General features: G+C 49.5%; 4 protein-coding genes and 1 long non-coding RNA gene across 15 annotated transcripts in view, besides 9 other annotated features; 2 read left to right on the top strand and 3 right to left on the bottom strand.

Annotated features, from left to right (window-relative positions):
- On the bottom strand, window positions 350-2,700 carry LOC101593348 (uncharacterized). Its single transcript, NR_103497.1, has one exon. It is a non-coding gene; the product is annotated as an uncharacterized LOC101593348 (long non-coding RNA).
- Window positions 1,113-1,944: an enhancer, noted in NCBI's record as "H3K4me1 hESC enhancer chr12:122711745-122712576 (GRCh37/hg19 assembly coordinates)". NCBI's record gives its function as "activates a minimal SCP1, AML or CMV promoter by ChIP-STARR-seq in primed H9 embryonic stem cells {active_cell/tissue: H9 hESC(primed)}" and the evidence as "EXISTENCE:reporter gene assay evidence [ECO:0000049][PMID:30033119]".
- On the top strand, window positions 1,686-21,480 carry DIABLO (diablo IAP-binding mitochondrial protein). Of its 7 annotated transcripts, NM_019887.6 has the most exons (7): window positions 1,686-1,786; window positions 2,489-3,177; window positions 4,498-4,630; window positions 10,745-10,876; window positions 12,273-12,383; window positions 12,558-12,654; window positions 20,565-21,474. In NM_019887.6, the coding sequence occupies exons 2-7, from the start codon at window positions 3,128-3,130 to the stop codon at window positions 20,759-20,761; spliced, it is 720 nt and encodes a 239-aa protein (NP_063940.1). In that variant the 5' UTR covers window positions 1,686-1,786; window positions 2,489-3,127; the 3' UTR covers window positions 20,762-21,474. The 7 variants fall into 7 exon arrangements, with proteins under 7 accessions (NP_063940.1, NP_620308.1, NP_001265232.1 ...); NM_138930.3 differs by lacking the exons at window positions 1,686-1,786; window positions 4,498-4,630 and adding an exon at window positions 4,394-4,497 and having other exon boundaries at window positions 2,574-3,177; window positions 20,565-21,480; NM_001371333.1 differs by lacking the exon at window positions 1,686-1,786 and having other exon boundaries at window positions 3,090-3,177.
- Window positions 1,945-2,776: an enhancer, noted in NCBI's record as "H3K4me1 hESC enhancer chr12:122710913-122711744 (GRCh37/hg19 assembly coordinates)". NCBI's record gives its function as "activates a minimal SCP1, AML or CMV promoter by ChIP-STARR-seq in primed H9 embryonic stem cells {active_cell/tissue: H9 hESC(primed)}" and the evidence as "EXISTENCE:reporter gene assay evidence [ECO:0000049][PMID:30033119]".
- Window positions 1,945-3,020: a biological region, named in NCBI's record as "Sharpr-MPRA regulatory region 2179".
- Window positions 2,578-2,712, top strand: LOC128125816 (uncharacterized). The gene has a single exon (NM_001414998.1). The coding sequence runs from the start codon at window positions 2,578-2,580 to the stop codon at window positions 2,710-2,712; it is 135 nt and encodes a 44-aa protein (NP_001401927.1).
- Window positions 2,644-2,783: a silencer, noted in NCBI's record as "silent region_5012". NCBI's record gives its function as "represses an Ori minimal core promoter by ATAC-STARR-seq in GM12878 lymphoblastoid cells {active_cell/tissue: GM12878}" and the evidence as "EXISTENCE:reporter gene assay evidence [ECO:0000049][PMID:35858748]".
- Window positions 2,726-3,020: an enhancer, noted in NCBI's record as "tiled region #2179; HepG2 Activating DNase matched - State 4:PromP, and K562 Activating non-DNase unmatched - State 1:Tss". NCBI's record gives its function as "activates a minimal TATA promoter and a strong SV40 promoter by Sharpr-MPRA in HepG2 and K562 cells {active_cell/tissue: HepG2 | K562}" and the evidence as "EXISTENCE:reporter gene assay evidence [ECO:0000049][PMID:27701403]".
- Window positions 3,074-3,313: an enhancer, noted in NCBI's record as "active region_7211". NCBI's record gives its function as "activates an Ori minimal core promoter by ATAC-STARR-seq in GM12878 lymphoblastoid cells {active_cell/tissue: GM12878}" and the evidence as "EXISTENCE:reporter gene assay evidence [ECO:0000049][PMID:35858748]".
- Window positions 3,324-3,373: an enhancer, noted in NCBI's record as "active region_7210". NCBI's record gives its function as "activates an Ori minimal core promoter by ATAC-STARR-seq in GM12878 lymphoblastoid cells {active_cell/tissue: GM12878}" and the evidence as "EXISTENCE:reporter gene assay evidence [ECO:0000049][PMID:35858748]".
- Window positions 3,783-4,688: an enhancer, noted in NCBI's record as "H3K27ac-H3K4me1 hESC enhancer chr12:122709001-122709906 (GRCh37/hg19 assembly coordinates)". NCBI's record gives its function as "activates a minimal SCP1, AML or CMV promoter by ChIP-STARR-seq in naive H9 embryonic stem cells {active_cell/tissue: H9 hESC(naive)}" and the evidence as "EXISTENCE:reporter gene assay evidence [ECO:0000049][PMID:30033119]".
- B3GNT4 (UDP-GlcNAc:betaGal beta-1,3-N-acetylglucosaminyltransferase 4) lies at window positions 20,190-25,433 on the bottom strand. 3 transcript variants are annotated; one of them, NM_030765.4, is made up of 3 exons: window positions 25,341-25,433; window positions 24,458-24,620; window positions 20,190-22,824 (listed from the first exon to the last, which is right to left on the bottom strand). In NM_030765.4, exons 2-3 carry the CDS (start codon window positions 24,521-24,523, stop codon window positions 21,754-21,756), a joined length of 1,137 nt encoding a protein of 378 aa, NP_110392.1. In that variant the 5' UTR covers window positions 24,524-24,620; window positions 25,341-25,433; the 3' UTR covers window positions 20,190-21,753. The 3 variants fall into 3 exon arrangements, with proteins under 3 accessions (NP_110392.1, NP_001317421.1, XP_047285491.1); NM_001330492.2 differs by lacking the exon at window positions 24,458-24,620; XM_047429535.1 differs by having other exon boundaries at window positions 21,605-24,620.
- Window positions 25,119-25,748: a silencer, noted in NCBI's record as "silent region_5011". NCBI's record gives its function as "represses an Ori minimal core promoter by ATAC-STARR-seq in GM12878 lymphoblastoid cells {active_cell/tissue: GM12878}" and the evidence as "EXISTENCE:reporter gene assay evidence [ECO:0000049][PMID:35858748]".
- The window catches only part of LRRC43 (leucine rich repeat containing 43), a 35,753-nt gene continuing 35,540 nt past the window's right edge, over window positions 25,671-25,883 (bottom strand). For all 3 annotated transcript variants that reach the window (NM_152759.5, XM_017019124.2, NM_001098519.2), the window contains exon 12: window positions 25,671-25,827. In NM_152759.5, the coding sequence (NP_689972.3) occupies window positions 25,700-25,827 (128 nt within the window). In that variant the 3' untranslated portion in view covers window positions 25,671-25,699. The remainder of the gene's footprint in view (window positions 25,828-25,883) is intronic.

The raw sequence follows: 25,883 nt of genomic DNA, 5'->3' as shown, positions 1-25,883 counted from the left end.
AGCTGGGACTATAGCAAAGCACCACCACACCCAGCAATTTTTTTTTCTTCCTTTTAGAGACAGGGTCTTTGTTGCTCAAACTCCTGGCCTCAAGAGAAATAATTCTTTTTTTCTTTTTCATTAAATTTATTATCTTTTTAATTTTCTGTTGGCTAGGGTGGTCTCGAACTCCTAGCTTTAAGCAGCCCTCCTGCCTCAGCCCCACAAAGTGTTGGGATTATGGGTGTGAGTCACCACACCAGCTGAAATACTCTTTTTAAAATATCAAAATGAACTGGATGTCTAAAGCAGACAGTAAGAGGGACTATGATAAAGATGGTGAGGCAAAAAAATGCAGACATCACATAGATGATCTTCTTTAGACTGAATTTATTGTAGACTGTGATATATTCAGTCGTGGTTTAATGATGACATCCTATAGAAAATAGAGGATACCTTTTTTGTCAGACAACAGAAGAAAAAGGCAATTATTTAAAATTTCTCAGATTCTTTTATTTCTAAATGGATTAGTGTGAATTTCAAGCCACATAGTGTTTCTTTGCTTAAGTTCCTCCGTTGCTGTAAAACACCCAAAATCAGGCGGTAACAAGGGGCCGCAAAGGCTAGAACACTTAACTGCCTGGAGACATCCATTTGAAGGATGTGAGGGTTAAAAGGGAACAGAATCAGGCCTATTTTTAATAGCCTGTCTGTTTCATCCATTATTTTGGTGTGGAGGAGGGTATAAATCTCAGCTGTACTCCGTTGCCACTAGGTAGGACACGGAAGATGACCAGTTCTCTGGGGGAGTAATTACTACTCACTGGCTTCCTGAGCAGCTTGATAATGTTCTGCTCCTGTTTTCAGCCTCACTGTGGCCAAGGCAATAATTTGATAATAAGAGATCCTGATTAAATTAAGGAGCCATTTGCTTCTGGATGATGATGTTGATAAAAGGGTTGATGTCCACACTGCCTGCTCTTTTCAAAGGTCAGAAAACAGTCTTGAACTAAAAACTACGGCAACGAGCAAAATAATCAGAAGCAGCATAGTTTATGCTTTCGTTTCCTTTGTTGTTGCATCTGGGAAAGTGTCTGTTCTTTGCAGAAATCCTCACTGGCTCCTTTTGCCTCACATTGTGAGGAGGTGAAATTGGAAGTGTCACATTGGGAAAGTATCTGTATAATGAGTCTGTAAGCTGCAAAACTCTTTGTAAATCGGAATCAAGCACTCAGGAGATCTCGGTCACTTAAGCTTGGTTCTCACACCCGTGCATGCTTGCACTTGCATGTTTTTTAAGACAACAGCTTTTGCTTTAGTAGTTGGGCGGTCGCAAGTGAACACTGTCCAGTGGTTCTTCTGGTGCCCAGACTCGGAGGAGATGGGACTGCTCTCAATGTGTTTGTTAGAAACGAAACTGTTCGCACTATAACCCCATAACCCCTTACAATGTTCAGAAAAAAACAAGAAGGGGCTTGAAATACCCACTAGTGTGCCGCCTGCTCAGCCCATCTGGGTCTGTGAAACCACATCTGAGCCCTGTGGGCTGTGGTGGCGACACAGGCAGAGGGCGGGCAGGGTTGCCAGCGCCCCGCCTGGGCTAGGAACGCCTGTGCGCAGCTCCCTGAGAGCTCGGGGACCACGCGGAGGTTGTAATTGGTCTCTAGACCACACCTAGTTGTTGAGTGCCGCTGCTTGAAAATCTCAGTTCTGCCGAGATCGCAGAATACACACAAGCTACCTTTGGGCACCAGAGCAGACAGAACCGCGGAGCTTCAGGGTGGAAGATTCGTGGAAACTTTGCCAAGTAAGTGAGGTGGGGAGAGAAGGAAGCCAGTGCCTGACACTGTGGGGAGTGGCTGGGCAAAGCAGCATTGGAGGTGTTGTAGGGTTCCTACTGTCTGATGAGCTGGTGTGGGGTTCTTACTGTCTGATGTCGTCTCTGGTGGAAGTTAGCAGGGCTGGGGCAGATGCACAGAGCACGGTGGCGGGGGTGAGCCCAGGATCGGATTGATGCCCACCCACCACCTGGCACCCTGCAGTCCCAGCTGGCCAGAAGGCAAGCATGCTGGACCACAAAGCAAAGATCCTCCAGCTCTGCTGCTGGCAAGCCTTGGGGCCAGGGGACTCACAGAAGAGCAGGTTTGGGCCTGTGCCTTCCTCCTGCCCAAATGGGTCTCTCTCCCCTTCCCCTTCCAGCCAGGGCCGCAGCTGGGGCTGCAGCTTGAGTGACGGGAAAAGAAAGGTTTACTCCACCAGCGCATTAGCGGCACTCACAGCATTAAAAATGCAGGAGGTGGTGGGAGGAGCGGGCCAGGGAGGAAAACTCATGCAGCTGCGGGGCGCGGGGAAGAGCCGGGCTTCTGCCTCCTCAGCCCGGATCAGAGCCGAAGAACGAGGGCAGTTTGGGTTGAGAAGGATTCTCCAGTGTAACCGAGAAGCGAGCGTCCAGGAGGCTGTTGGGGAGGTCGGCACTGTGGGCTTCCTGGCCTTCGTTTGCTGTTTCGAGGGCCAGGACCTCGTGTGTTCCCGTCCGCCCCTCTGGGACGGCGCCAGCCCGGCAGGCCGCCGACCGTCCTGGGGCTCCCGCGCAGCGCGATGCCGGCCTCGTCCACCGTCCACGTGCTGCAGCTGCTGCGGGAGCTGCTCGCCTTCGTGCTCCTCAGCTACACGGTGCTCATCGGGGCGCTGCTGCTGGCCGGCTGGACCACTTACTTCCTGGTGCTGAAGTGACAGCGCCGTCGCCGCGCCCGGCCCCGCCTCCCGCCCGGCCCCGCCTCCCGCCCGGCCCCGCCTCCCTAACTCACCAGGAAATTCCCTTCAAGCCCTGGCCCGAACTGAGTCCCCGCCCACCCGCCAGCGTCACGGCGCCCGACTCAGCTCCGCGCCGGACCCACCTCCGCGCCCTCAGGCCCTGCATATGCCCCGCCCCGCGCGGAAGTTCCGGCGGTTGGTTGCCTTGCGCGGCCGTTACAGCCTTTGCCCTAAGCCTCGCCCCCTTTCCCCCTGCCTGCCCAATCCCGACTGCTTCCTTGGGTGGGGGCGTGGCTATGGGGCGAGGCGCTCTCAGGTGGAGGCCGTGCCCCGCTCCGCGCTCACGAAGCTGCGTCACTTCCGGCGTGTGCGTCTGGCGTCCGCGCGCTGCACAATGGCGGCTCTGAAGAGTTGGCTGTCGCGCAGCGTAACTTCATTCTTCAGGTACCGCTGCGGCCGCGTAGAGGGGACAGGACCAGAGGGAGGGACCGACGCGGACAGCGCTGTGGCCCGGCCCACGGCGCCCGCCTTCCTTACGCGCTCATCTCTCGTCCGCCCAGCTGGGTCGCGGCGTCTCGCTCCGGTCGGGAGGACTGAGGACAGCCCCGCCTCCGCCCCCTGGGTCAAGCCCGGCTTCCTTTTCAGTTCGTCCATCTTCTAGAAACGAGTCCCCGAGACCCCGGGCTGCCTTCTTGGGGCTGCTCCGCCTCCTGACCAGCCCTCGTCAGCCACTCGAAGTCCCTGAGGAGACGTGGAGAGGAGGAGGGACACGGCATGGGGGGAGTCCGGGAAGGGAGACGAGCGTCTGAAGACGTCCTCCCGAGGGCAGAAGGGGCCGGGGGAGCTGGCGCAGGGCTCTCTACCTAGCGCTGCAGGCTCCTGGGCGATTGTAGCGGGACCGTCACACACAACTGGCACCCAGGCCAGGGGTCCAGAGCTAAATTCTGCCTGCAGGAGCGGTTATTGTGGCATCCGTTTCTAAAAAGTTTAAAGGCAACATTTTATTTTATTTTAATTTTTTTGAGACAAGATCTGCCTCTGTCGCCCAGGCTGGAGTGCAGTGGCGAGATCTCAGCTCACTGCAACCTGTGCCTCCCGGCTTCAAGCGATTCTCAGCCTCAGCCTCCCGAGTAGCTGGGATTGCAGGCGCCCGCCACCACGCCCGGCTAATTTTTTTTTTTCTTTTTGTTTTGTTTGAGACTCAGTCTCGCTCTGTTGCCCAGGCTGAAGTGCAGTGGGGCGCTCTCGGCTCACTGCAACCTCTGCCTCCCAGGTTCAAGCGATTCTCCTGCCTCAGCCTCCCGAGTAGCTGGGATTACAGGAGCGTGCCACCACTCCGGGCTAATTTTTGTGTTTTAAGTAGAGATGGGGTTTCACCATGTTGGTCAGGCAGATTTCGAATTCCTGACCTCAAGTGATCCACCCGCCTCGGCCTTTATTTACTTATTTTTTTTTAATAGACACGGGGTCATGTTGCCAGCCATGTTGCCCAGGCTGGTCGTGAACTCCTGGGCTCAAGTGATCCTCCCGCCTTGCCCTTGGCCTTCCAAGTGCTAGGATTACAGGCGTGAGCCACCAACACCCTGCCTGAGGCAACATTTTAAACTTGGTGTATGTTGAAAATTTCAAAACCCCTCAGCTGTCCTGCATCCTCATTTAGGTTCCTGCTTGGCTCGAGTTTGAGTTTACAGCCCCTGCAAGTAAATCCAAGAGCCTGTTACAGATTGGCGGTCGTGCCTTATGAAATCTGACTTCTACTTCCAGGTACAGACAGTGTTTGTGTGTTCCTGTTGTGGCTAACTTTAAGAAGCGGTGTTTCTCAGAATTGATAAGACCATGGCACAAAACTGTGACGATTGGCTTTGGAGTAACCCTGTGTGCGGTTCCTATTGCACAGGTACTGTCGTGTGCAGTGATTCTTATCTAGTGTACCGTGTCCTCTTGAAGTCTCAAGTGGGCGGTGAAGCATTAGACAAGCTACCATAGTTTTTCCCAGTGCTCCCATCCCTTCCCCCACAGTACCGGCATCTTTTCACAGTTGAGCAGATATATTAATATTCTCATTTTGATTATCTCATTTGGTAGGAACAGCACATCAAATTGTATAAAGCGAGTAGAGAGAAATAAGAGGATATTACAGTCTATCAACAAAGTAGTCTTTGATTCAACAGAAATTTATTGAGCAACTTTTATGTGCAAGACACTGAGAATGTAAGAATGAACAACAAAAAATTCTTGTTCTCACAAAAGCTTTGTGGAGATGAAAGAGGATAAAATATAAAATATCAGCTGGTGATAAATGGTGGGAAGAAAACAGGGCCGGGCACAGTGGCTGATGCCCAGGGCTTTGGGAGGCTGAGGTGGGAGGATGGCTTGAGCTCAGGAGTTTGAGACCAGCCTAGTCAACATAGGGAGACTCTGTCTCTACAAAACAGAAAAATTTAGCCGGGTGTGGTGGCTCACACTTCTAGTGGCAACTACTCAGGAGGCTGAGGCAGGAAGATCACTTGAGCCCAGGAGTTTGAGGCTGCAGTGAGCTATGATCTCACCACTGCTCTCCAGCCTGGGTGACAGGGCAAGACCTTTTCTCAAAAACAAAACAAAACAAATGAGGTAAGTGAATAGGCAATTCTGGGAGGGAGTTTTGTTTTAGATAAAGGTGGTCAAGCTACTCTGATAAGGCGAAGTAGAGATCTGAATGTTCTGAAAGAGCCATTATACTATCTGGTGCGGGGAGGAGCTTGCCAGGCAGAAGGAACTCAGAAGGACAAAGACCTAGAAGCAGAAGTATGCCTGGTATGTCTGAGGAGCATGGAGCTAATGTGTCTGGAGGCGAATGGGGGAGACCGTAATAGATGAAGCCAGAGAGTTAACTGATAATCAGATTGTGTCCTTTGTATTTTGTGGGCCATTGTTGTAAGGCTTTGGGTTTTCTGAAAAAGAAGCCGCAGAAGATATTTTTTTTTTTTTTTTTTAAAGACAGAGTCTCACTCTGTTGCCAGGCTGCAGTGCAATGGCACAATCTTGGCTCACTGCAACCTCCGCCTCCCAGGTTCAAGCAATTCTCATGCCTTAGCCTCCGGGTAGCTGGGATTACAGGGGTGTGCCACCGCACCCAGCTAGTTTTTGTATTTTTAGTAGAGATGGGGTTTCTCCATGCTTGTGAGGCTGGTCACGAACCCCTGACCTCAGGCGATCCACACGCCTCGGCATCCCAAGGTGCTGGGATTACAGGCCTGAGCCACCGTGCCCGGCTGTCACAGAGGATTTTTAACACAGAACTATTATGATCTGACATAAATTTTAAAAGTTAAAAGGTTGCTGTGTGGAACTAGGAAGACTAGTTGCTATATCTAGGCATGAAATGATACTGGCTTGGACCAGGCAAGCAGAAGAGGTGGGGAGAATTTAGCTCAACGTAGTTAGCAGGAGTTGCTGATGGATTGGTTGTCGGGTGTATTCTCTAGATTAGGGGTCCCCAACCCCTGGGCTGGTACTGGTCTGTGGCCTGTTAGGAAGCAAGCTGCACAGCAGGAGGTGAGTGGTGGGCAGGTGAGCATTACTGCCTGAGCTCTGCCTCTGGGCAGATCAGCAGTGGCATGGGATTCTCATAGGAGCACGAAACCTATTGTGAACTACACGTGCGAGGGATCTAGGTTGTGTGCTTCTTGTAAGAATCTAATGCCTCATGATCTGAGGTGGAACAGTTTCATCCTGAAACCATCCTCACCCCACCCAGTCCATGAAAAAATTGTCTTCAACAGAGCCGGTCCCTGGTGCCACAAACGTTGGGGACCACTGCTCTAGATTCCAAAAATTTTTTTTTTTTTTTTTTTTTGGAGACGGAGTCTCGCTCTGTTGCCCAGGAAGCTCTGCCTCCTGGGTTCACACCATTCTCCTGCCTCAGCCTCCCGAGTAGCTGGGACTACAGGCGCCCGCCACCACACCCTGCTAATTTTTTTGTATTTGTAGTAGGGACAGGGTTTCACCGTGTTAGCCAGGATGGTCTCGATCTCCTGACCTCGTGATCCACCTGCCTCGGCCTCCCAAAGTGCTGGGATTACAGGCGTCAGCCACTGCACCTGGCCAGATTCCAAGATTTTTTAAAGGCCTTAGCAACTGAATGAATGGCGATGCCATTTAGTAGGATGGAGAGGAGTGGGTTTTGAAAGGAAAAAAATTTTTTGGAAATGTCATTTCTAAGATGTCTAGGAAACATCTAGGTGGAGCTGTCAATTAAGTAGTTGATATAAAAGTGGCACTTCATTTAAAAAAATCATAGCTTATATGCTTTATGGGGAAGAGCTAGAGAGGAAACCAGCAAGCTCCATTTCAGCAAAATATTCCTGCCACTTAACGTGTGTGTTCATCACAAAAGGAAGATTAATTCCATGTATTACAAGTATTTTCAGCATCTTCTGAGGCTCATTCATGAGCCCTCACCTTACTGTGCCTCACTTCAGTTGTCATCTCTGCATGCTGATGAATCCATAGCCCTAAAACCCCTCACTTGAATACCAGGCTATTTTCGACCACAATTGGGACAACCTTTGTTTTTTTCATTCAAAAGATTTTTTTTTAGGTTTGTCCTTTCTCAGTTATTATATTACTTTCTAAGCCCAGTTAACCTCAGTTCTGGGCCACATGACTGGGGTCTCTAGTCATTTAGTACAGCAATGCCACTTCCATTCTTCAAAACCCCTCAGTGGTCAGCTAGGCACGATGGCTCTCTCTTGTAATCCCAGTACTTTTGGAGGCTGAGGTGGGAGGATCACTGTAGGCCAAGAGTTCGAGACCAGCCTGAGAAACATAGCGAGACCACCCCTCTACAAAAAATAATTAGCTAGGTGTGGTGGCGTGTGTCGGTAGTCCTAGCTACCTGGGAGGCAGGAGGATGATTTGATTTCAGGAGTTCAAGGCTGCAGTGAGCTGGGATCACAACACTATACTCCATCCTGGGCAACAGAATGAGAAATGAAAAACCTACAGTGGCTTTCCATGAGGCGTTCAGAACTAAAATTAAACTAAGTCTCCCTGCACTCCAGGGCCCTAGTGAGTCTCATTTCTCTTAGCTCCAACCAGGCTAGATCCCTGGACATCCCCTGCAACAAAAGTATTATTTTCCTCATTGTTACCTATTCTCCAGGATGCGTGGCCATTCTGATTCTAGGTATCTTTAGTACCAAGTCTCACCTCTATTTAAAGCCTTTCCTTATTCCTGTCCAACAACTATCTCCTCCTTTTTGGCCACTTAATATTGTATATTTTGATATTTGATGATAATCCTTTGGCACCCTCCTGAGTCATCAGAGCATAATGGGAAGGGTACAGACTTTGAAGTGAGATTTGGTTTGAGGTCTAGATGTGACTTTTTGGAAAAGTTACATAACTATTCTGAGCTTCCATGTCATTGCTTGTAAATAAGAAAGGATAATAACTGGACTGTTGTGAGGAACAAGTGAAAACACATTATAAAATGTAGCACATTATGAAGACTTATCAGAATATTGAGACAAAATTAGCTTCTTGTGAGCAGAGGTGTCTTTCTTCCTTTTGTAGTCCTGTATAAGATGCCTAATGAATACTTAATTATTTGAAATATAAAGTTCTTGATTTGTTCATATCAAAAATATTTCTTGACTGCCTCTTTCAACATGCAGTGATTCTGAGTGTTTGTACTCTGAATAGCAAAAACAAGACAACATAGAGTGATTGATTTTTTGTTTTTGTTTTTGTTTTGTTTTGTTTTGTTTTGAGACGAGTTTCACTCTTACCACCCAGGCTGGAGTGCAATGGCAAGATCTCGGCTCACTGCAACCTCCACCTCCTGGGTTCAGGCAATTCTCCTGCCTCAGCCTCCCGAGTAGCTGGGATTACAGGTACCCGCCACCACGCCCAGCTAATTTGTGTCTTTTTAGTAGAGACGGGGTTTCACCATGTTGGCCAGGCTTGTCTCAAACTCCTGATCTCAGGTGATCTGCCCGCCTCAGCCTCCCAAAGTGCTGGGATTACAGGTGTAAGAGTGCTTTGCTGAGGAGGAAAAAGGCAGAGAGTCAGGGAGGATGTGTCATTACAGTTGCCAGTATTTAGTCCAGGTGGCCACAGTCCCTTAACTCTTAAGGTAATTATATTAGTCTTTCCTTTTTTAAAATAGCTGAGGTCAGGGTGGGCATGGTGGCTCACACCTGTAATCCCAGCACTTTGGGAGGCCAAAGCATGTGTATCACTTGAGGTCAGGAGTTCAAAACCAGCCTGGGCAACATGATGAAACCCCATCTCTACTAAATATACCAAAAAAATAGCAAAGCGTGGTGGCAGGTGCCTGAAATCCCAGCCACTGGGGAAGCTGAGGCAGGAGAATCGCTTGAACCCAGGAGGCGGAGGTTGCAATGAGCCAAGATTGAACCACTGCACTCCAGCCTGGGTGATAGAGTGAGACTCTGTCTCAAAAAAAAAAAATAAAATAACCGAGGTCCCCCCATCAACACTGTACTGCTTCATTCTGCTCAGAATTGCCCTCCCCCATCCACTTTTTTTTTTTTTGGCGAAAGAGTCTTGCTCTGTCGCCCAGGCTGGAGTGAAGTGGCACGATCTTGGCTCTCACTGCAACCTCCACCTCCTGGGTTCAAGCGATTCTCCTGCCTCAGCCTCTCAAGTAGCTGGGACTACAGGTGCCCACCACCATGCCCAGCTAATTTTTTTTTTTTTGTATTTTTAGTAGAGTTGGGGTTTCGCCATGTTGGCCAGGCTGGTCTCGATCTCTTGACCTTGTGATCCACCCGCCTCGGCCTCCCAAACTATTGGGATTACAGGCGTTAGCCACCATGCCTGGCCCACTTTATTAGACTCAGCTTAATCCTCATCAAACTTGTGAAGCCTTTTCTAAGCTATTAGCACTCAACATAGAACTGATTGCTCCCTTCTGCATGCCCCCAGTGTAGCTCATACATACTCCTCCCACAGCTTCCATGATACATGATTGTGTTCATTTTTCTAGTTCTGTTAGCCCATCATCCTGCTCTCTCTACCCCTACACCTGTGTTTGAGGGCAGAGAATGTCTTGTTGAGACTTGCGTCTCAAGTATCTAACACTGTTAATGAATGAATTGTAATCTTATCAATTTGTTGGTTATAATCAATAGTTTTGGGGGTTTTTTTGGTTTTTTGTTTTTTTTTTGAGATGTAGTCTCGCTCTGTCACCAGGCTGGAGCGCAGTGGTGCAATCTCGGCTCACTGCAACCTCTGCCTCCTGGGTTCAAGTGATTCTTCTGCCTCAGCCTCCCAAGTAGCTGGGACTACAGGCGTGTGCCACCACGCCCAGCTAATTTTTGTATTTTTAGTAGAGACGGGGTTTCACCATGTTGGCCAGGATCGTCTCAATCTCCTGACCTCGTGATCTGCCTGCCTCAGCCTCCCAAAGTGCTGGGATTACAGGCGTGAGCCACCGTGCCCGGCACTTTTTTTTTTTTTTTTTTAGTCTTGCTCTGTCACCCAGGCTGGAGTGCAGTGGCAGTCTCGGCTCACTGTAACCTCTGCCTCCTGGGTTCAGTCGATTCTCCTGCCTCAGCCTCCCGAGTAGCTGGGATTAAAGACGCACACCACTACGGCCCAGCTAATTTTTGTATTTTTTTAGTAGAGACGGGGTTTCACCATGTTGGCCAGGATCGTCTCAATCTCCTGACCTCGTGATCTGCCTGCCTCAGCCTCCCAAAGTGCTGGTATTACAGGTGTGAGCCACCGTACCCCGCCACAATTTATTTTATATGTAAAGAAATAATTTGCTTTTTGGAGCAGAGAATGAAAGTTGGTAGAAAGCATACTCCGGAATTATTTCTCTATATTGTCTTAAATTGCCAAAATAAGGCCTTAAAAAATATAACCCAAAGAAATATAGTGCAGTTTCAGCCTAAAACACTAAGCAGCATGACAATTACGTTTTTTGCTTGCCTATTGGTGAAAAAGTTCTCAGTTTGAGCTTTAGAGGTTGAGTGACAATGTTTGTGTCTTTCAGAAATCAGAGCCTCATTCCCTTAGTAGTGAAGCATTGATGAGGAGAGCAGTGTCTTTGGTAACAGATAGCACCTCTACCTTTCTCTCTCAGACCACATATGCGTTGATTGAAGCTATTACTGAATATACTAAGGTATGTCTCCTCTTAACTCTTGATCTTCTAAACCATGGTTTAGCAAATAATGGCTCACAACCAAATTGTGTCTGATACCCATGTTGGTATTTGATTGAAACATAGCCAGGCCTATTTGTTTATGTGTTGTCAATAACGGTTTTTGAGGATTTGAGTAGTTTCAACAGAGGCTGTAAGGCCCACAAAGCCCAAAATATTTACTGTCAGGCCCTTCAAAAAGTTTGCTGAGCCCTGATCTAAATCACTCGTTTTTAGACTTTTCCCAGGAACCTTTTTTTTTTTTTTTACAGAAAAATCTTAAATGTGGCAGCCTAGTATATAAAACAGGAGTGAAGCTGATATGGTTCAGTTAAGGGCACAGGGGCCTGTGGTCCATCAACAGAGGTTGCTCTGTGAGGATTATTTAAAAGCCACTGATCTAACCTAATAGAAAAGAGAGTATATGGGCCAGGCGTGGTGGCTCACATCTGTAATCCCAGCAGTTTGGGAGGCCAAGGCGGGAGGATCACTTGGGGCCAGGAGTTCAAGACCAACCCAGTCAATGTAGCAAGCCCCATCTCTAGCAGAAAAAAAATTTTAAACTTAGCCAGGCATGGTGTGTTGTGTGCCTGTAGTCCCAGTTACTCCAGGGGCTGAGGTGGGAGGATCACTTGAGTCTAGGAGTTTGAGATTACAGTGAGCTATGAACATGCCAGTGCACTTCCGTCTGGGTGACATAGCATCCTGTTTGTAAAAAATAATAAATTTTTTTTTTTGAGATGGAGTCTTGCTTACGCAGGCTGGAGTGCAGTGGAGTGATGTCAGCTCGCTGCAATCTCCGCCTCCTGGGTTCAAGCGATTTTCCTTCCTCAGCCTCCTGAGTAGCTGGGATTACAGGTGTGTGCCACCATGCCCGGCTAATTTTTTTGTATTTTTAGTAGAGACGGGGTTTTGCCATGTTGGCCAAGCTGGTCTCGAACTCCTGACTTCAGGTGATCCACGTGTCTTAGCCTCCCAAAGTGCTAGGATTACAGGCATGAGCCACTGCACCCGGCCAATAAAAATTTTTTAGCGTATATGGATAATCAAAAGTATTGAAGTCTCATTTGTGCATTTGTTTTACATATATTTTCCAGCAGCTTTTTTCCCCTCAACCTTTAAAGTTTTCCCTTGCATTGTTTTCTCTTTCTGTGTCTGAATTGCTGACAAGCTTTTAAAAACACAGAAGTTTACAGATGGAGATACTAATGTCCTGATACCTTTACTTCATAGGATAATAGTGCAATTTCATTGAGGCAGCAGGATGGAAGAGCCAGTTTGCTGTAATGGGACTTAATTTCCTTGAGGTGGAAATCTCTCTATTCCTTCTGATATGTCTCACTTACTTTACTCAGACTTGTTCATTCTCTATTTGTAGGCTGTTTATACCTTAACTTCTCTTTACCGACAATATACAAGTTTACTTGGGAAAATGAATTCAGAGGAGGAAGATGAAGTGTGGCAGGTGATCATAGGAGCCAGAGCTGAGGTAAGCAGAAAGTTCTAGGCATTTCTGTGTTAGTGCACCTACCTCATGTGGTATCTAAATTATTGAATTAAGTCTAATCAATATAATCAGTGTTCTCTAAATCTACTACTTTAAGTCCATTTAAATGGGCTAGACCTCTTATGCTGTCTGAAGCACTTTGCTTGATTTATATAGATGACTTCAAAACACCAAGAGTACTTGAAGCTGGAAACCACTTGGATGACTGCAGTTGGTCTTTCAGAGATGGCAGCAGAAGCTGCATATCAAACTGGTAGGTTCAAGTTTTGTGTTGGGTTTTTTTTTTAATTTTTTAACTAGGAAGGTACCATTTGAGTTTTCATCTGGTTTTCTAAAATGAGGGCTTTATAGTAAATGGTCTAAGTGGCTCTCACTTTGAGAAATTTTCCCCATTTCCTACATATTAACCTACATTTTATTTGCACAATAGAAACAATGAGCATACCCTTGCAGACCAGACCAGTAGAAGCTAGGTTATGTCTTCAAAATGAAAAATGATAAAACTATTACCATTGGAAAATTGGATTGCTTCCAAATAGTTTTAGCTTCTTTTGGTAATACAATTTATTAACAATCATAGAATTACACCGTTGGCTGAGACTTGAGATGAGTAATCTATGTGAACCTTTTTGTACAGATGGAGAAAATGAGACCTGGAATCATAGTCAGTGGCAAAACCAGGACAAATTATTTGTCTATGTCAGGCTTTGTGGTAGGCATTTCGTAGGCACTTTTTATATGTGAAGAAACTAGAGGGCAGATGGGCCAGATCATTCGGCTAAGATGACACGGTATGGTGAGTAAGCAGCCAAGCTGAGATTCAGCTGAGTAGGTCTTTTTTTTTTTTTTTTTTTTTTCCTTCATAAAATAGAGATGGGGTTTTACAATGTTGCACAGGCTAATCTCGAAATCCTAGGCTCAAGCAGTCTACCCACCTTGGCCTCCCAAAGTGCTGGGATTATAGGCATGAGCCACGGAGCCAAGTAGGTCGAATTCCAAAGCCTCTGCTTCTCCTATTCTCCCAGCAGCCAGTGCTTTGTCCTTTGCACCGTGGTGCCCCAAGGTGCCCATCATAGAACATCCTACCTGAGTGGTCCCAACCTAGGTAGGTAGGCTCACAGAAAAAAAAATTTTTTTTAATGGAGTTTTGTTCCTGTCACCCAGGCTGGAGTGCACTGGCGCCATCTAGGCTCACTGCAACCTCCACCTCCTGGGTTCAAGTGATTCTCCTGCCTCAGCCTCCCAAGTAGCTGGGATTACAGGCACCCGCCACCACGCCCAGCTAGTTTTTGTATTTTTAATAGAGAATAGTTTTTGTATTTTTAATAGAGAAGGGGTTTTGCCATGTTGGCCAGGCTGGTCTTGAACTCCTGACCTCAGGTGATCCACCCGCCTTGGCCTCCCAAAGTGCTGGGATTACAGGCATGAGCCACTGTGTCCGGCCAAATTTTTTTTTTTTTGAGACAGAGTTTCACTCTTGGTGCCCAGGCTGCAGTGGTAGCACTTTCTCAGCTCACTGCAACCTCTGCCTCTCCAGTTCAAGCAATTTTCCTGCCTCAGCCTCCCGATTACAAGCATGCACCACCACGCCTGGCTAATTTTTGTATTTTTAGTAGAGGCAGGTTTCGTCATGTTGTTCCTCACTTCAGCCTCTCAAAGTGCTGGGATTACAGGTGCGAGCCACCGCACCCAGCCGGCTCACCAAAGTTATAGCTTAGTACTAGTTCTTATTAAGAAACTGGTTGCAGTGGCTCATGCCTATAATCCCAGCACTTTGGGGGGCCAAGGAGGGCGGATCACTTGAGGTGGGTCACTTGAGGTCAAGAGTTTGACACTACCCTGGCCACCGTGGTGAAACCCTGTCTCTACTAAAAATACAAAAATTAGCCAGGTGTAGTGGCACACGCCTGTGCAGGAGAATGGCTTGAACCCAGGGGGTGGAGGCTGCAGTGAGCCTAGATGGCTCCACTGCACCTCAAGCCTTGGTGACAGAGCAAGACTCTGTCTCAAGAAAAAAAAAAGAAACTGGGATGAGTCAGGCACAGGGACTCAACGCGTGTCTTTGGGAAGCCAAGGCAGGCAGATTGCTGGAGCCCAGGAGTTCAAGGGCAACACAGTGAAACCCCATCTCTACCAAAAATACAAAAATTAGCTGGGCGTATTGGCGCTCGCCTGTAGTCCCAGCTACTCGGGAGGCAGAGGTGGGAGGATTGCTTGAACCCAGGAGCTCAAGGCTGCAGTGAGCTATGATCATGCCTGTGCACTCCATCCTAGGCAAAAGAGCTAGACCCTGTCTCAAAAAAGAAATTGTTATATTAAAACATACTCTTGTTTTCTGATGTCAAGATTAGCAGGCTAGGGTTCTCAATCATCAAATCTTAAAAATGATACAAAGGGCTGGGTGTGGTGGCTCACACCTGCAATCCCAGCTACTTGGGAGGGTAAGATAGGAGGATCACTTGAGCCTGGGAGGCAGAGGTTGCAGTGAGGTGAGATCATTGCACTCCAGCCTGTGCAACAGAGTGAGACCCCATCTCAAAGAAAAGATATAAAACATTTTTTAAGGTAAGTGTTGTGTCATCATACTGAAAAACAAAAAATAATTCTTTTAGAAGGTTTTTTTTGTTGTTGTTAGTTTTTTTGTTTGTTTGTTTTTTTGAGACAGTCTCATTCCATCCCCCAGGCTGGAGTGCAGTGGTGTGAACTCAGCTCACTGCAACCTCCACCTCCCTGCTTCAAGCAATTCTCTTGCCTCTGCCTCCTGAGTAGTTGGGCTTGGAAGCGCCTGCCACCATGCCTGGCTAATTTTTTTATTTTTAGTAGAGACGGAGTTTCACCATGTTGGCCAGACCGGTCTTGAATTCCTGATCTCAGGTGATCTGCCTGCCTCGGCCTCCCAAAGTGCTGGGATTACAGACATGAGCCACTGCGCTTGGCCCAGAAAAAGTAGTGATCCTGAGAAAAAGTAGTGATCCTGAGGGATCAGAGATTTGGAACAAGAATGAAACAACGGAAGTGTGGAAGCAGCATTATAGTTGTGCCACACAAACATGGCAGAGGATTTCTAGGTGCAGTGAACAGGAGGATATGCTTATATCTAGAAGGAGAAAAGGAGAATATCTAGAAGGAGAAAAGGAGGGGATGTATAAGCATTATTTGAGAAAAGTAGACATTTTCCTAGAACTCATAGAAAGGGCTAACAAAGTTGTAAACGGAATTTTTTTTTTTTTTTTCCCTGAGACAAGGTCTTACTCTGTTACCAGGCTGGAGTACAGTGGCACAATCATGGCTCACTGCTTACTACAGCCTTAGCCTCTGGGCTCAAGCGATCCTACCATGTCAGTCTCCCAGGTAGCTGGGATTATATGTTTCCGGTAGAGACAGGATTTTGCCATGTTGTCCAGGCTGGTCTTGAACTCCTGAGCTCAAGTGATCCACCCGCCTTGGCCTCTCAAACTGCTGGGATTACAGACATGAGACACTGTGCACGGCCTTATGATTTCACTTTTTTAACCAAAAATCTGGTCCAGGTGCAGTGGCTCATACCTGTTGTAATCCCAGCACTTCGGGATGCCTAAGCAGGTGGATCACTTGAGCTCAGGAGTTCGAGACCAGACTTGACAACACGATGAAACCCTGTCTCTACAAAAAAATTAGCCAGGCATGGTGATGGGCGCCTGTAGTCCCAGCTTCTTGGGAGGCTGAGGTGAGAGGATCACTTGGGCCCTGGAGGTCGAGGCTGCAGTGAGCCATGATCAGGCCAGTGTACCCCAGCCTGGTTGACAAAGCAAGACCCTGTCTTAAAAACAAAAAAATGGCCGGGCGCAGTGGCTCACGCCTGTAATCCCAGCACTTTAGGAGGCTGAGGTGGGCGGATCATGTGGTCAGGAGATAAAGACCATCCTGGTTAACATGGTAAAACCCCGTCTCTACTAAAAATACAAAAAAATTAGCTATGTGTGGTGGCGGGTGCCTGTAGTCCCAGCTACTCGGGAGGCTGAGGCAGGAGAATGGCGTGAACCTGGGAGGCAGAGCTTGCAGTGAGCAGAGATCACACCACTGCACTCCACCCTGGGCAACAGAGCAAGACTCCATCTCAAAAAAAAAAACAAAAATAAATAAATAAGCGAACAATAAAGTAACAGCATAACAAAAAGATTCAGAGCAAAATCCCAAAAGCTACTAAGAAAAAATAGATTACCTACAAAGGAAGTAGAATCAAACATCAGGCATCTTCTCCGCAACACTAGAGGTGACGATAAATCCATAACCTAGGATTTTATGTATAGCCAACTACCATCAAAAAGTGAGAATAAAAGATATCCTCAGACATAGACTCAAAGTACCACCTGTATACACTTTCTGGAAGAACTATGAAGAAGGAAAAATCAGTTTTGAGAGAAGCTACTAAGATTTTTTTTCAAAAGTTCTGAGTGTAAAACAAGTTTTTAAATTTGGGAAAGTGAAAACATGCTAAGCACATTGACATTAGACATTGTTAAACACTGCAAAGAGAATTAGTAGGAGTGGGAGGAAACTTGGTAGCTCCAGTTGAGGCAGGAAAGGTTTAAAAAGAAAACCCGTCAATTAGAAAATACAAAATTGGGCCACGTGCAGTAGTTCACACCTATGATCCCAGCACTTTGGAAGGCCAAGTCAGATGGATCAGCTGAGGTCAAGAGTTCGAGACCAGCCTGGCCAACATGGCAAAACTCCATCTGTAATTTAAAAAAAAAAAAAAAAAATTATAGGAATAATTTCAAACATCAGTGATTGCAGTAAAAATAAACTTATTAAATGACACGTTTAGATTGTGTTCCAAAATTTAGCTAAAACTAGCTAAATCAAAGAATTCAAGATAAAAAGTAATCAGTAGGACAGAACAATTCATTAAGACATTATCAATCATGAAATGTACTTAATGAGGCAAAAACTGATAGAATTACAAGGAGATCTGAGATGTGTGTAATACTCAATTTTCTGAGCACGCTTGCAGGTCAAGACAACCAAAAAAATTAAAGCTATTAAAGCTATTAAGGATTAGAACAGAATTTGTTTTGGAGACAGGGTCTTGCTCTGTTGCCCAGGCTGGAGTGTAATGGCATGATCACAGCTTACTGCAGCCTTGACCTGGGCTCAAGCCATCTTCCCATTTCAGCGTCCCAAGCAGCCCAACTAATTTTCTTTTTTTTTTTTAAGAGTTGGTGTCTTGTTATGTTCCCCAGGCTGATTTTGAACTCATGGGCTCAAGTGATCCTCCCGTCTTGGCCTGCCAGAGTGCTAGGATCACAGGCGTGAGCTGAGCCACTGCACCCAGCTCAGTGTGATTGTTTTTTATTTTGGAGACAGGGTCTCACTCTGTCACCCGGGTTGGAGTGCAGTTCCTTGATCTTGGCTCACCGTTACTTCTGCCTCCCAGGGTCAAGCAATCCTGTCTCAGCCTCCTGAGTAGCTGGGACCACAGGCAGTCACCACCACGCCCGATTAATCTTTTTTATTTTTTGGTAGAGATGGGGTTTCACCATGTTGCCCAGGCTAGTCTCGAACTCCTGAGCTAAGGCAGTCCACCTGCCTCAGCCTCCCAAAGTGCTGGGATTACAGGCGTGAGCCACTGTGCCCGTCTGTGATTTTTTTTTTTTTTTTTTTTTTTTTTTTTTTTTTTTACTTTTAACTAAACAAAGGAAAATCAGATTTGTGTGTGTGAGAGAGACAGGGTCCATGCGGGAATGCTGTGGTGGGATCATAGATCATAGCTTGCTGTAGTCTCAACCTCCTGGACTCAAGTGATCCTCCCCACTTTAGCCTCCCCAGTAGCTGGGATTACAGGTGCACACCACCATGCCCCAGCTAATTTTTTTATTTTTAGTAGAAACAGAGTTTTGCTAAGTTTCCCAGGCTGGTTTTGCAGAGTGGTTTTTAAACACCTAACAAATGTATATATACTAAATATAAAACTTTGCCCCCTCCCTCTAAATTTACATACTCTTCTAAGACACACAGTAAATTTTGTACCAGGTGACAAAAGGAAGAGACAACAAAATCATTTAAAAAGTTGATATATCACCTGGGCGCGGTGGCTCACGCCTGTAATCCCAGCACTTTGGGAGGCCAAGGCGGGTGGATCACGAGGTCAGGAGATCAAGACCATCCTGGCTAACGTGGTGAAACCCCGTCTCTACTAAAATAAAAAAAATAAATAAATAAATTAGGCATGGTGGTGGGCACCTGTAGTCCCAGCTACTCAGGAGGCTGAGGCAGGAGAATGGCGTGAACCCGGGAGGTGGAGCTTACAGTGAGCCGAGATCGCGCCACTGCACTCCAGCCTGGGTGATAAGTGAGACTCCATCTCAAAAAAAAAAAAAAAAAAAAGGTAGAAATGGTATTCGAAGATTTTGATGTCCCCAAAATGGACACCAGGGCCTAGGATGTTTCGTGGGAGAGTTTTATCAAATCTTCCAAAACTATAATACCTATGTTACTGTAAGTGTACCAGCGCAAAGAAAGTAATGACAAGCCTCCTCTTACTACTGTATGAAGCCAGCATAGCCCCGATCCCAAACTGGACTAGGGCAGCACCAAAACGAAAAGCTCAGTATCACTTCAAAATGTAGCCGTAAATCAAACGTAGCCATTTACCCTCAAAATAGAATGATAGTTCAACACTGTAAAAAACTATAGAGTGAGACTCCTTCTCAAACAAATATAATTCACTGTTTGAGATGATATATCCATAGATTAAAGGAGAAAAACCACTTAACATATGCCCAAAACATCTTCAGTGTAGTAGCCATTTATGATTCGAATCTAAGTACAATTATGAAGAGATAATTTTCTTAATGTAATAAAGGTTAAGTAATCCTACTTAATTGTGTGGACTTTCAGAAGTGTTTTCATCGAAGTTAGAAGAGGAGGATGCCTGCCATTCTCCACTACCTGTCAACATTGTCCTGAAGGTTCTTGTTAATGCAGTAAGATCAAAATGTTCTACAGACGAATTGATAAAATGTATATACCCAGATGGTGAAATACACTAACTAGCAGCAGGTAAAATGAGAGAGCTCATTTTTTTTTTTGGGGGGGAGACGAGTTTCACTCTCACCTAGGCTGGAGTGAAGTGGCGCGATCTCAGCTCACTGCAACCTCCGCCTCCCAGGTTCAAGCAATTCTCCTGCTTCAGGCTCCCAAGTAGCTGAGACTGCAGGTGCACTCTGCCACACCCAGCTACTTTTTTTGTATTTTAGTAGAAACGGGGTTTCACCGTGTTACCCAGGCTGGTCTTGAACTCCTGAGCTCAGGCAGTCCACCCACCTCGGCATCCCAAAGTGCTAGGATTACAGGCACGAGCCACTGCACCCAGCCTTTTTTCTTTTTTTCTTTTTTTTTTGAGACGGAGTCTGTCGCCCAGGCTGGAGTGCAGTGGCACGATCTTGGCTCACTTCAGCCTTCGCCTCCCGGGTCCAAGCTATTCTCCTGCCTCAGCCTCCCAAGTAGCTGGGATTACAGGCATGCGCCACCATGCCTGGCTAATTTTTTTTTGTATTTTTGGTAGAGACGGGTTCACCATGTTAGCCAGGCTGGTCTCGAACTTCTGACCCTCAGGTGATCTGCCTGCCTTGGCTTCCCAAAGTTCTGAGATTAGAGGCGTGAGCCACTGCGCCCGGCCTTCAAAACATGTTTAAGTGAAAAAATTATAAAACATATTTAATACCTTTTATGCTGTTACATAAATTTATAGTAAAAAAATATTTTTCTATGCATTCCTTTACCTTTAAAGATTAGTCAAGGTGATGAAAGGGATCTTTGACAATTTTATTCATGATCTCTTTGTCAAAAAGAAATGGAAGATGTGTAGTTAAAAAAATTAATCAAAGGTCTGTACTAAAAGCTCTGTAGCTATAAAGATGATTGTGAGAGTTGCATTTAATAATTGTGATGTTGGCCGCTGACAGCTGAAGAAAAATGCTGTTTTTGACAGAGTGTCAGTTAAATCCAGACCTGAACATAGAGGTGGAAGTTTCTTTGCAGAGAGAGAAGACAGGGAGGTCAAGGAAAGTGACCCCAAGAGGGGTTCAGATGACAGCCACAGCACCCCCAGGCCAACGTCCACATGAGCCTTCCGCGCCCTGCACGGCTGCTCAACCCGATTGTCCCATCTTTTGGCAGGCGCAGATCAGGCCTCTATAACCGCCAGGAATCACATTCAGCTGGTGAAACTGCAGGTGGAAGAGGTGCACCAGCTCTCCCGGAAAGCAGAAACCAAGCTGGCAGAAGCACAGATAGAAGAGCTCCGTCAGAAAACACAGGAGGAAGGGGAGGAGCGGGCTGAGTCGGAGCAGGAGGCCTACCTGCGTGAGGATTGAGGGCCTGAGCACACTGCCCTGTCTCCCCACTCAGTGGGGAAAGCAGGGGCAGATGCCACCCTGCCCAGGGTTGGCATGACTGTCTGTGCACCGAGAAGAGGCGGCAGATCCTGCCCTGGCCAATCAGGCGAGACGCCTTTGTGAGCTGTGAGTGCCTCCTGTGGTCTCAGGCTTGCGCTGGACCTGGTTCTTAGCCCTTGGGCACTGCACCCTGTTTAACATTTCACCCCACTCTGTACAGCTGCTCTTACCCATTTTTTTTACCTCACACCCAAAGCATTTTGCCTACCTGGGTCAGAGAGAGGAGTCCTTTTTGTCATGCCCTTAAGTTCAGCAACTGTTTAACCTGTTTTCAGTCTTATTTACGTCGTCAAAAATGATTTAGTACTTGTTCCCTCTGTTGGGATGCCAGTTGTGGCAGGGGGAGGGGAACCTGTCCAGTTTGTACGATTTCTTTGTATGTATTTCTGATGTGTTCTCTGATCTGCCCCCACTGTCCTGTGAGGACAGCTGAGGCCAAGGAGTGAAAAACCTATTACTACTAAGAGAAGGGGTGCAGAGTGTTTACCTGGTGCTCTCAACAGGACTTAACATCAACAGGACTTAACACAGGCCTCTTGTTCCTTCCTTTCTTTCCGTTTCTCTATTGTATCCAAAGGAGAAGAGTGTAAGATTTTGTTTGCATCTGAAAGAGAAAATGCGTCTCTCCTGGGGTCCTATGCAGCCTCCTTCCTTGAGGTCCCAGACTGCAGCGCCCCAGGCAGCGCCCGGAATGCCCCGACAGGTTCCTGGCAGCATTTGCTACACTTTGGCTCCCATTCAACATATGCTGGACAAGTTAGCTGGGTTGCAGTGTTTTTAATCAGAGCTAACAGGGTGAGAGGAGTTAAAAAACCAAGTTGGCATTTTCTGTAGAGCAGCAGGCATCAATTTCGCATCACGATAGAGAATCAACACTGAGTCCACTCTCAGGCTGTTGCCCAACCCACCCTTCAGCGCTGGGGTATGGGGCCAGCTGCACACTTGAGCCCCTCATCTGTCACCAGTGCCCACATGGTCCACATCTCGAGGGGGCTGAGGCGGTGAACCAGCAGGAGCCCCCTATACAGGCAGGGGTCTAAGGGGTCCAGGGGCCGCCGGATTCCAAATGTCTTGAAGCCAGCATGGTGCATAGGGCTCAGCCCCAGCCGCCTCAGGCACATACCCACAAAGACATCATCAATGGGGAAGAGTTCAGCATCTTCCATGATAGCCTGGAGGCGCCGCACTGTGGCTCTGGACATGACATATCCTCCCCCACCAGCATAGGGTGGGTAGTGGGTGGCCCTGTACATTGAGGGTGGGATGAAGTATTTGACCTTAGTGTTCCTGTTGGGCAGGGCTTGGCGGATGACATCTCCCACCAGGAGGTCCTGGGCTGGGTCCCAGCCATCCAGGAACTCTAACACGTTGGGGACGTGGACAAAGACATCGTCATCTCCCTTTAGCATGAAATGGGCCTGGGGGCAGGCAGCCACCACCCAGCGCTGCAGGTGCAGCTCCTTGAGCGTCAGGTTGAAGAAGTCCTCAGTGAAGTCCCACTGGAGGATGTCATCAAACTCCCTACTCTCATAGGCCAGCAGCTGGGCTGGGGGAGCGGATCCTGCCACCCCTAGGAGGAACACCAGCTTCAGCTGCCGGCCCCTAGCCCATCCCCCCACCCTGCCCCACGTGCTGCGGATAGCCGCACGTCGCTCCACGTGACCAGGCTGTGACTTGATGGCCAGGAGCAAGAAGGTATCCTTGGAACAGCCTGAAGGCTCCAGCAAGATAGAGAAATTTCGGCAGTGACGATAGGTCAAGAAGAGACGGTGACGGCTAGGCAGGGACAGAGAGGCGCTAGACACTGTGTGGTTGGGTGGACACCGGCTGTGACGGGGTGTTGGGGGAGCCCAGAAAGGCTGGTGGGCCGTGGGGTCTCCTGCGGGCTTGGCCGCCTTCCTCAGGAAGAGCAGGCAGCCGAGCAACAGCACAGCCAAGCTGTACGAGACCAGCCAGCACAGCCTGCAGAGCATCGCCGGTCCCTGCAAGGAGAGAGCCACCTGAGCAGGGCCCAGCCCCGGGTCCCTGTCCCCAAGAGTTGGGCAGGAGTTAACCTGCACCCCAGCCGCTAAGTCCCTGCTGGCCTCTGGACTTTTTATTCTCAGCGTATCCTCAGGCTCTTTCCAGAGTCCTCCCTCCCCTGAGGATGGGCTAAGCACAGCTGCTTTGCCAGCCCTTGCCCTCCTCTGCCATCATCTGAGGACTCCTGGGTCTGTTTTTCCCAAAAGGACTTGCAGCCACTTTACAGCTGACACCATAAACGTTCCCAGCCATTCTTCCAGGAAACTCGAGCACCTGATGAGTTTTAGGCACAGACTCAGTTTAGCTTGGATCAAATTCACTAAGTGTGGAACTGACATTCAGGGCTTTTCAAGTGGGAAGTGAAACCATTTCCCAAAAAAAGCTTGGTGCCTGTGGGGTCCTGTGTTGGGCGTCTCCAAGATGACCAGGAGTGCACTGCTTCCCTCGGAGGAGAACCAGCACCACAGGGTGGCCGTGGCCACCAAAGCACACACCCTTTACACCTGCCTCAGAGGTCGGGGCTTCCAGGAGGGAGGGAGGGAGACAAAGCCACACACCACAAGAGGGGAAGCAGGAAAGCTGGGGACTTGTATCAGGGATGGCTTCCGAGGCACCCCGCCCCGCCTTCCCACCACGTTCTAAGTGCTGATTTCTCCCAGGGACCTGAAAAGAAGGATGAGGAGACAGAATCCACCAGTGTGGCCTGCCCGAGCTCCACGTAGCAAAGCCTGTCTTCAGTTTCTCATTTTTGTCCCTCTGGTGTCTCCCTCTGCCCCAGTCCCCTCCCCTTGACCTCCACTGCCAAGTCATCCTGTCCCTTCACTTCTGACCAGTCTGCCGCATTGGCCACTGCCACAGCCGCCGTCACCAGAAAAGCAACTGCTAGGTGCTAGGGATGCAGTGGCAAGCAAGACAGGGTCGCTGCCCTCTCAGAGGGGAGCACAAAACGCATAGGAACCAGGTATGTTGAGAAGTTACAGTCTAATGCAGAGAATTGGCTGACGCGGAGGACGGATCCCATAGCCAAGGGTAGCTAAAAAGCCCTCCTTGATGGAGGGACGTTTGAGCAAGAACTGAGTGAGGAATGGCACCTTGCGTGAAGACCTGGGGTCTCTGCAGGCCGTGGGCAGAGTCAGGCAGCTCCAGGGCAGGAGAGAGGGGAGAAAGAAGGGAGACGGGGGCCCAGCAGGTTTACAGTAGGAAGAGGCCAGCCCGGCTAGTGAAAGAGCTAAGGGTTTTGTTGGTTTTTTTTGAGACAGTGTCTCTGTCACCCAGACTCTAGTGCAGTGGCACAATTATAGCTCACTGCAGCCTGGAACTCCTGGGTTCAAGCGATCCTCCGGCCTCGGCCTCCCCAGTAGCTGGGACTACAGGCGTGCAGGGCCCGGCTAATTTATTTTTTGTAGAGATGTGGTATCTTTTGTTGCCTGGGCTGGTCTGGAACTCCTGGCCTCAAGCGATCCTCCCGCCTTGGCCTCCCAAAGCGTTGGGACTACAGGCGTGAGCCACCGGCCAGAGTTTTCTGAGCCCCCTGGAGATCTATGCGGGGGTGGGGGACAAGGGGGTCTGGCAGAGGCGGTGAAAGAATCTGACCTTTGGTAAAAGGCCACTCCTACCGCCCCTTCCCTGGTGGGCTGCGGAAGGCTGGGGAGGAAGCATGAACGGCAGCTGGAGACTGTCTCCGTGCTCAGGATGCCGGGCGGCGGCGGCGGCGGGGTCGAAGCGAGATGAGTCTCAGGTGTGCGAGCACCGCGGGCTGTGGACGAGAGGCCCGGGCGGGCGGCGGTGCCATTCACCGAGAAGGGCGCACAGCAGGTGGCTTGGTTCCGTCCCAGGAGGTTTCAGCCCAGGCTGCGCCGCGGCCCGGGTGGCCCCTGTCCCGCCGCGGGCGTCCCCAGGCGCTGGCCGCACGGCCTCGCCCCGCCGCCCTCCGAGCCGCGGAGACCCCAGAGCCCGGCTCTCCACCCGCCGCGGAGCGCACGACCCCGTCTGGTGGGGCGCGGGTCCTGAGGCTGCGCTCGGCCTTGGGCGGCAGCCGCCTCGGATCCCCACAGGACTCGGTGACCCAAAACGCCCTGGCGCGGGCAGGGGGCGAACTCTGGTTCATTCTTTCAACGCGACAGTCTCCGAAGGGCTGACGGCAGCAGAGACCCACTCTGCGGGGACCCCCGGGCCGGGGTTGGCAGCAGCGCTGCGCGTCGGGCGCGGGCGGCCCAGGCTGGCGGGGTCTACCGCGCCCGGCTCCAGCCTCTGTCCCCAGCCTGGAGAACCGAAGCCGAGCGGCCCGTGGGCCCCGAGCCGTGCCCGCCGAGGCCAGACTCGCGCCGCACCCGGGCGGGGCCGGCGTCCTCGCGGGGACCCTGGGGGACCGGGGAGCGGGCCGCGGGGTGCAAAGGCACGGCCGCCCTGGCGACGCCCCTCCCTGCACGGTGACCCAGCCTCCCTCACAGCAGCGGCGTCCCGGCCCCCAACCTACCTGAGCGTGACGCCGGGGTACGGGCGTGGAGCTCGTGCAGCGGAGCCAGGGCGGATGGCGCCCAGGTGCGCGGAGCTCTCGGGGCTCGGGAGTGGGCGGGGCTTCTGGAGGAGGTGGGAATTTGGGGCGGGGTTCTGGCGGGGGCGGGTTTGGGGCCTCCCCGGACCCAGCCGCGGGTCTCCGCAGCGCCGGAGGCTGGACGCACGCGTCCCGCGCCCGGTCCTGGGGTCCGCACGAGCCGGGTCGGGCAGAGGCTGCTCCTCCTCCCCAGGACGCCGGCGCCACACCCGCCCCCCGACGCGTGCGGCGGGACAGAAGCGGAGGCGGGAGTGCTGGGAACAGCCTTTACTGCCCACGCCCTACACGGCGAACATGCGCAGAGCCTCCTCCGCCGAGCGGCACTGGTTCAGCTGGATCTGCACCTCTACGGTCAGGGGCTCAGGGTGGTAATCGCCTTCGTAGATCGGAATCACGGCTTTCGGCTTTTCTGAGAAAATTTAAGTGCGAGCATGAGCCCCGGGAGACGGATGGGCTGGCGTTCTC

The sequence above is a fragment of the Homo sapiens genome, chromosome 12 (genome assembly GCF_000001405.40).
Source record: "Homo sapiens chromosome 12, GRCh38.p14 Primary Assembly".
NCBI classification, from domain to species: domain Eukaryota; kingdom Metazoa; phylum Chordata; class Mammalia; order Primates; family Hominidae; genus Homo; species Homo sapiens.
The sequence above is the reverse complement of the archived record's forward strand: the minus strand, read 5'-3'. Positions and strand labels throughout refer to the sequence as shown.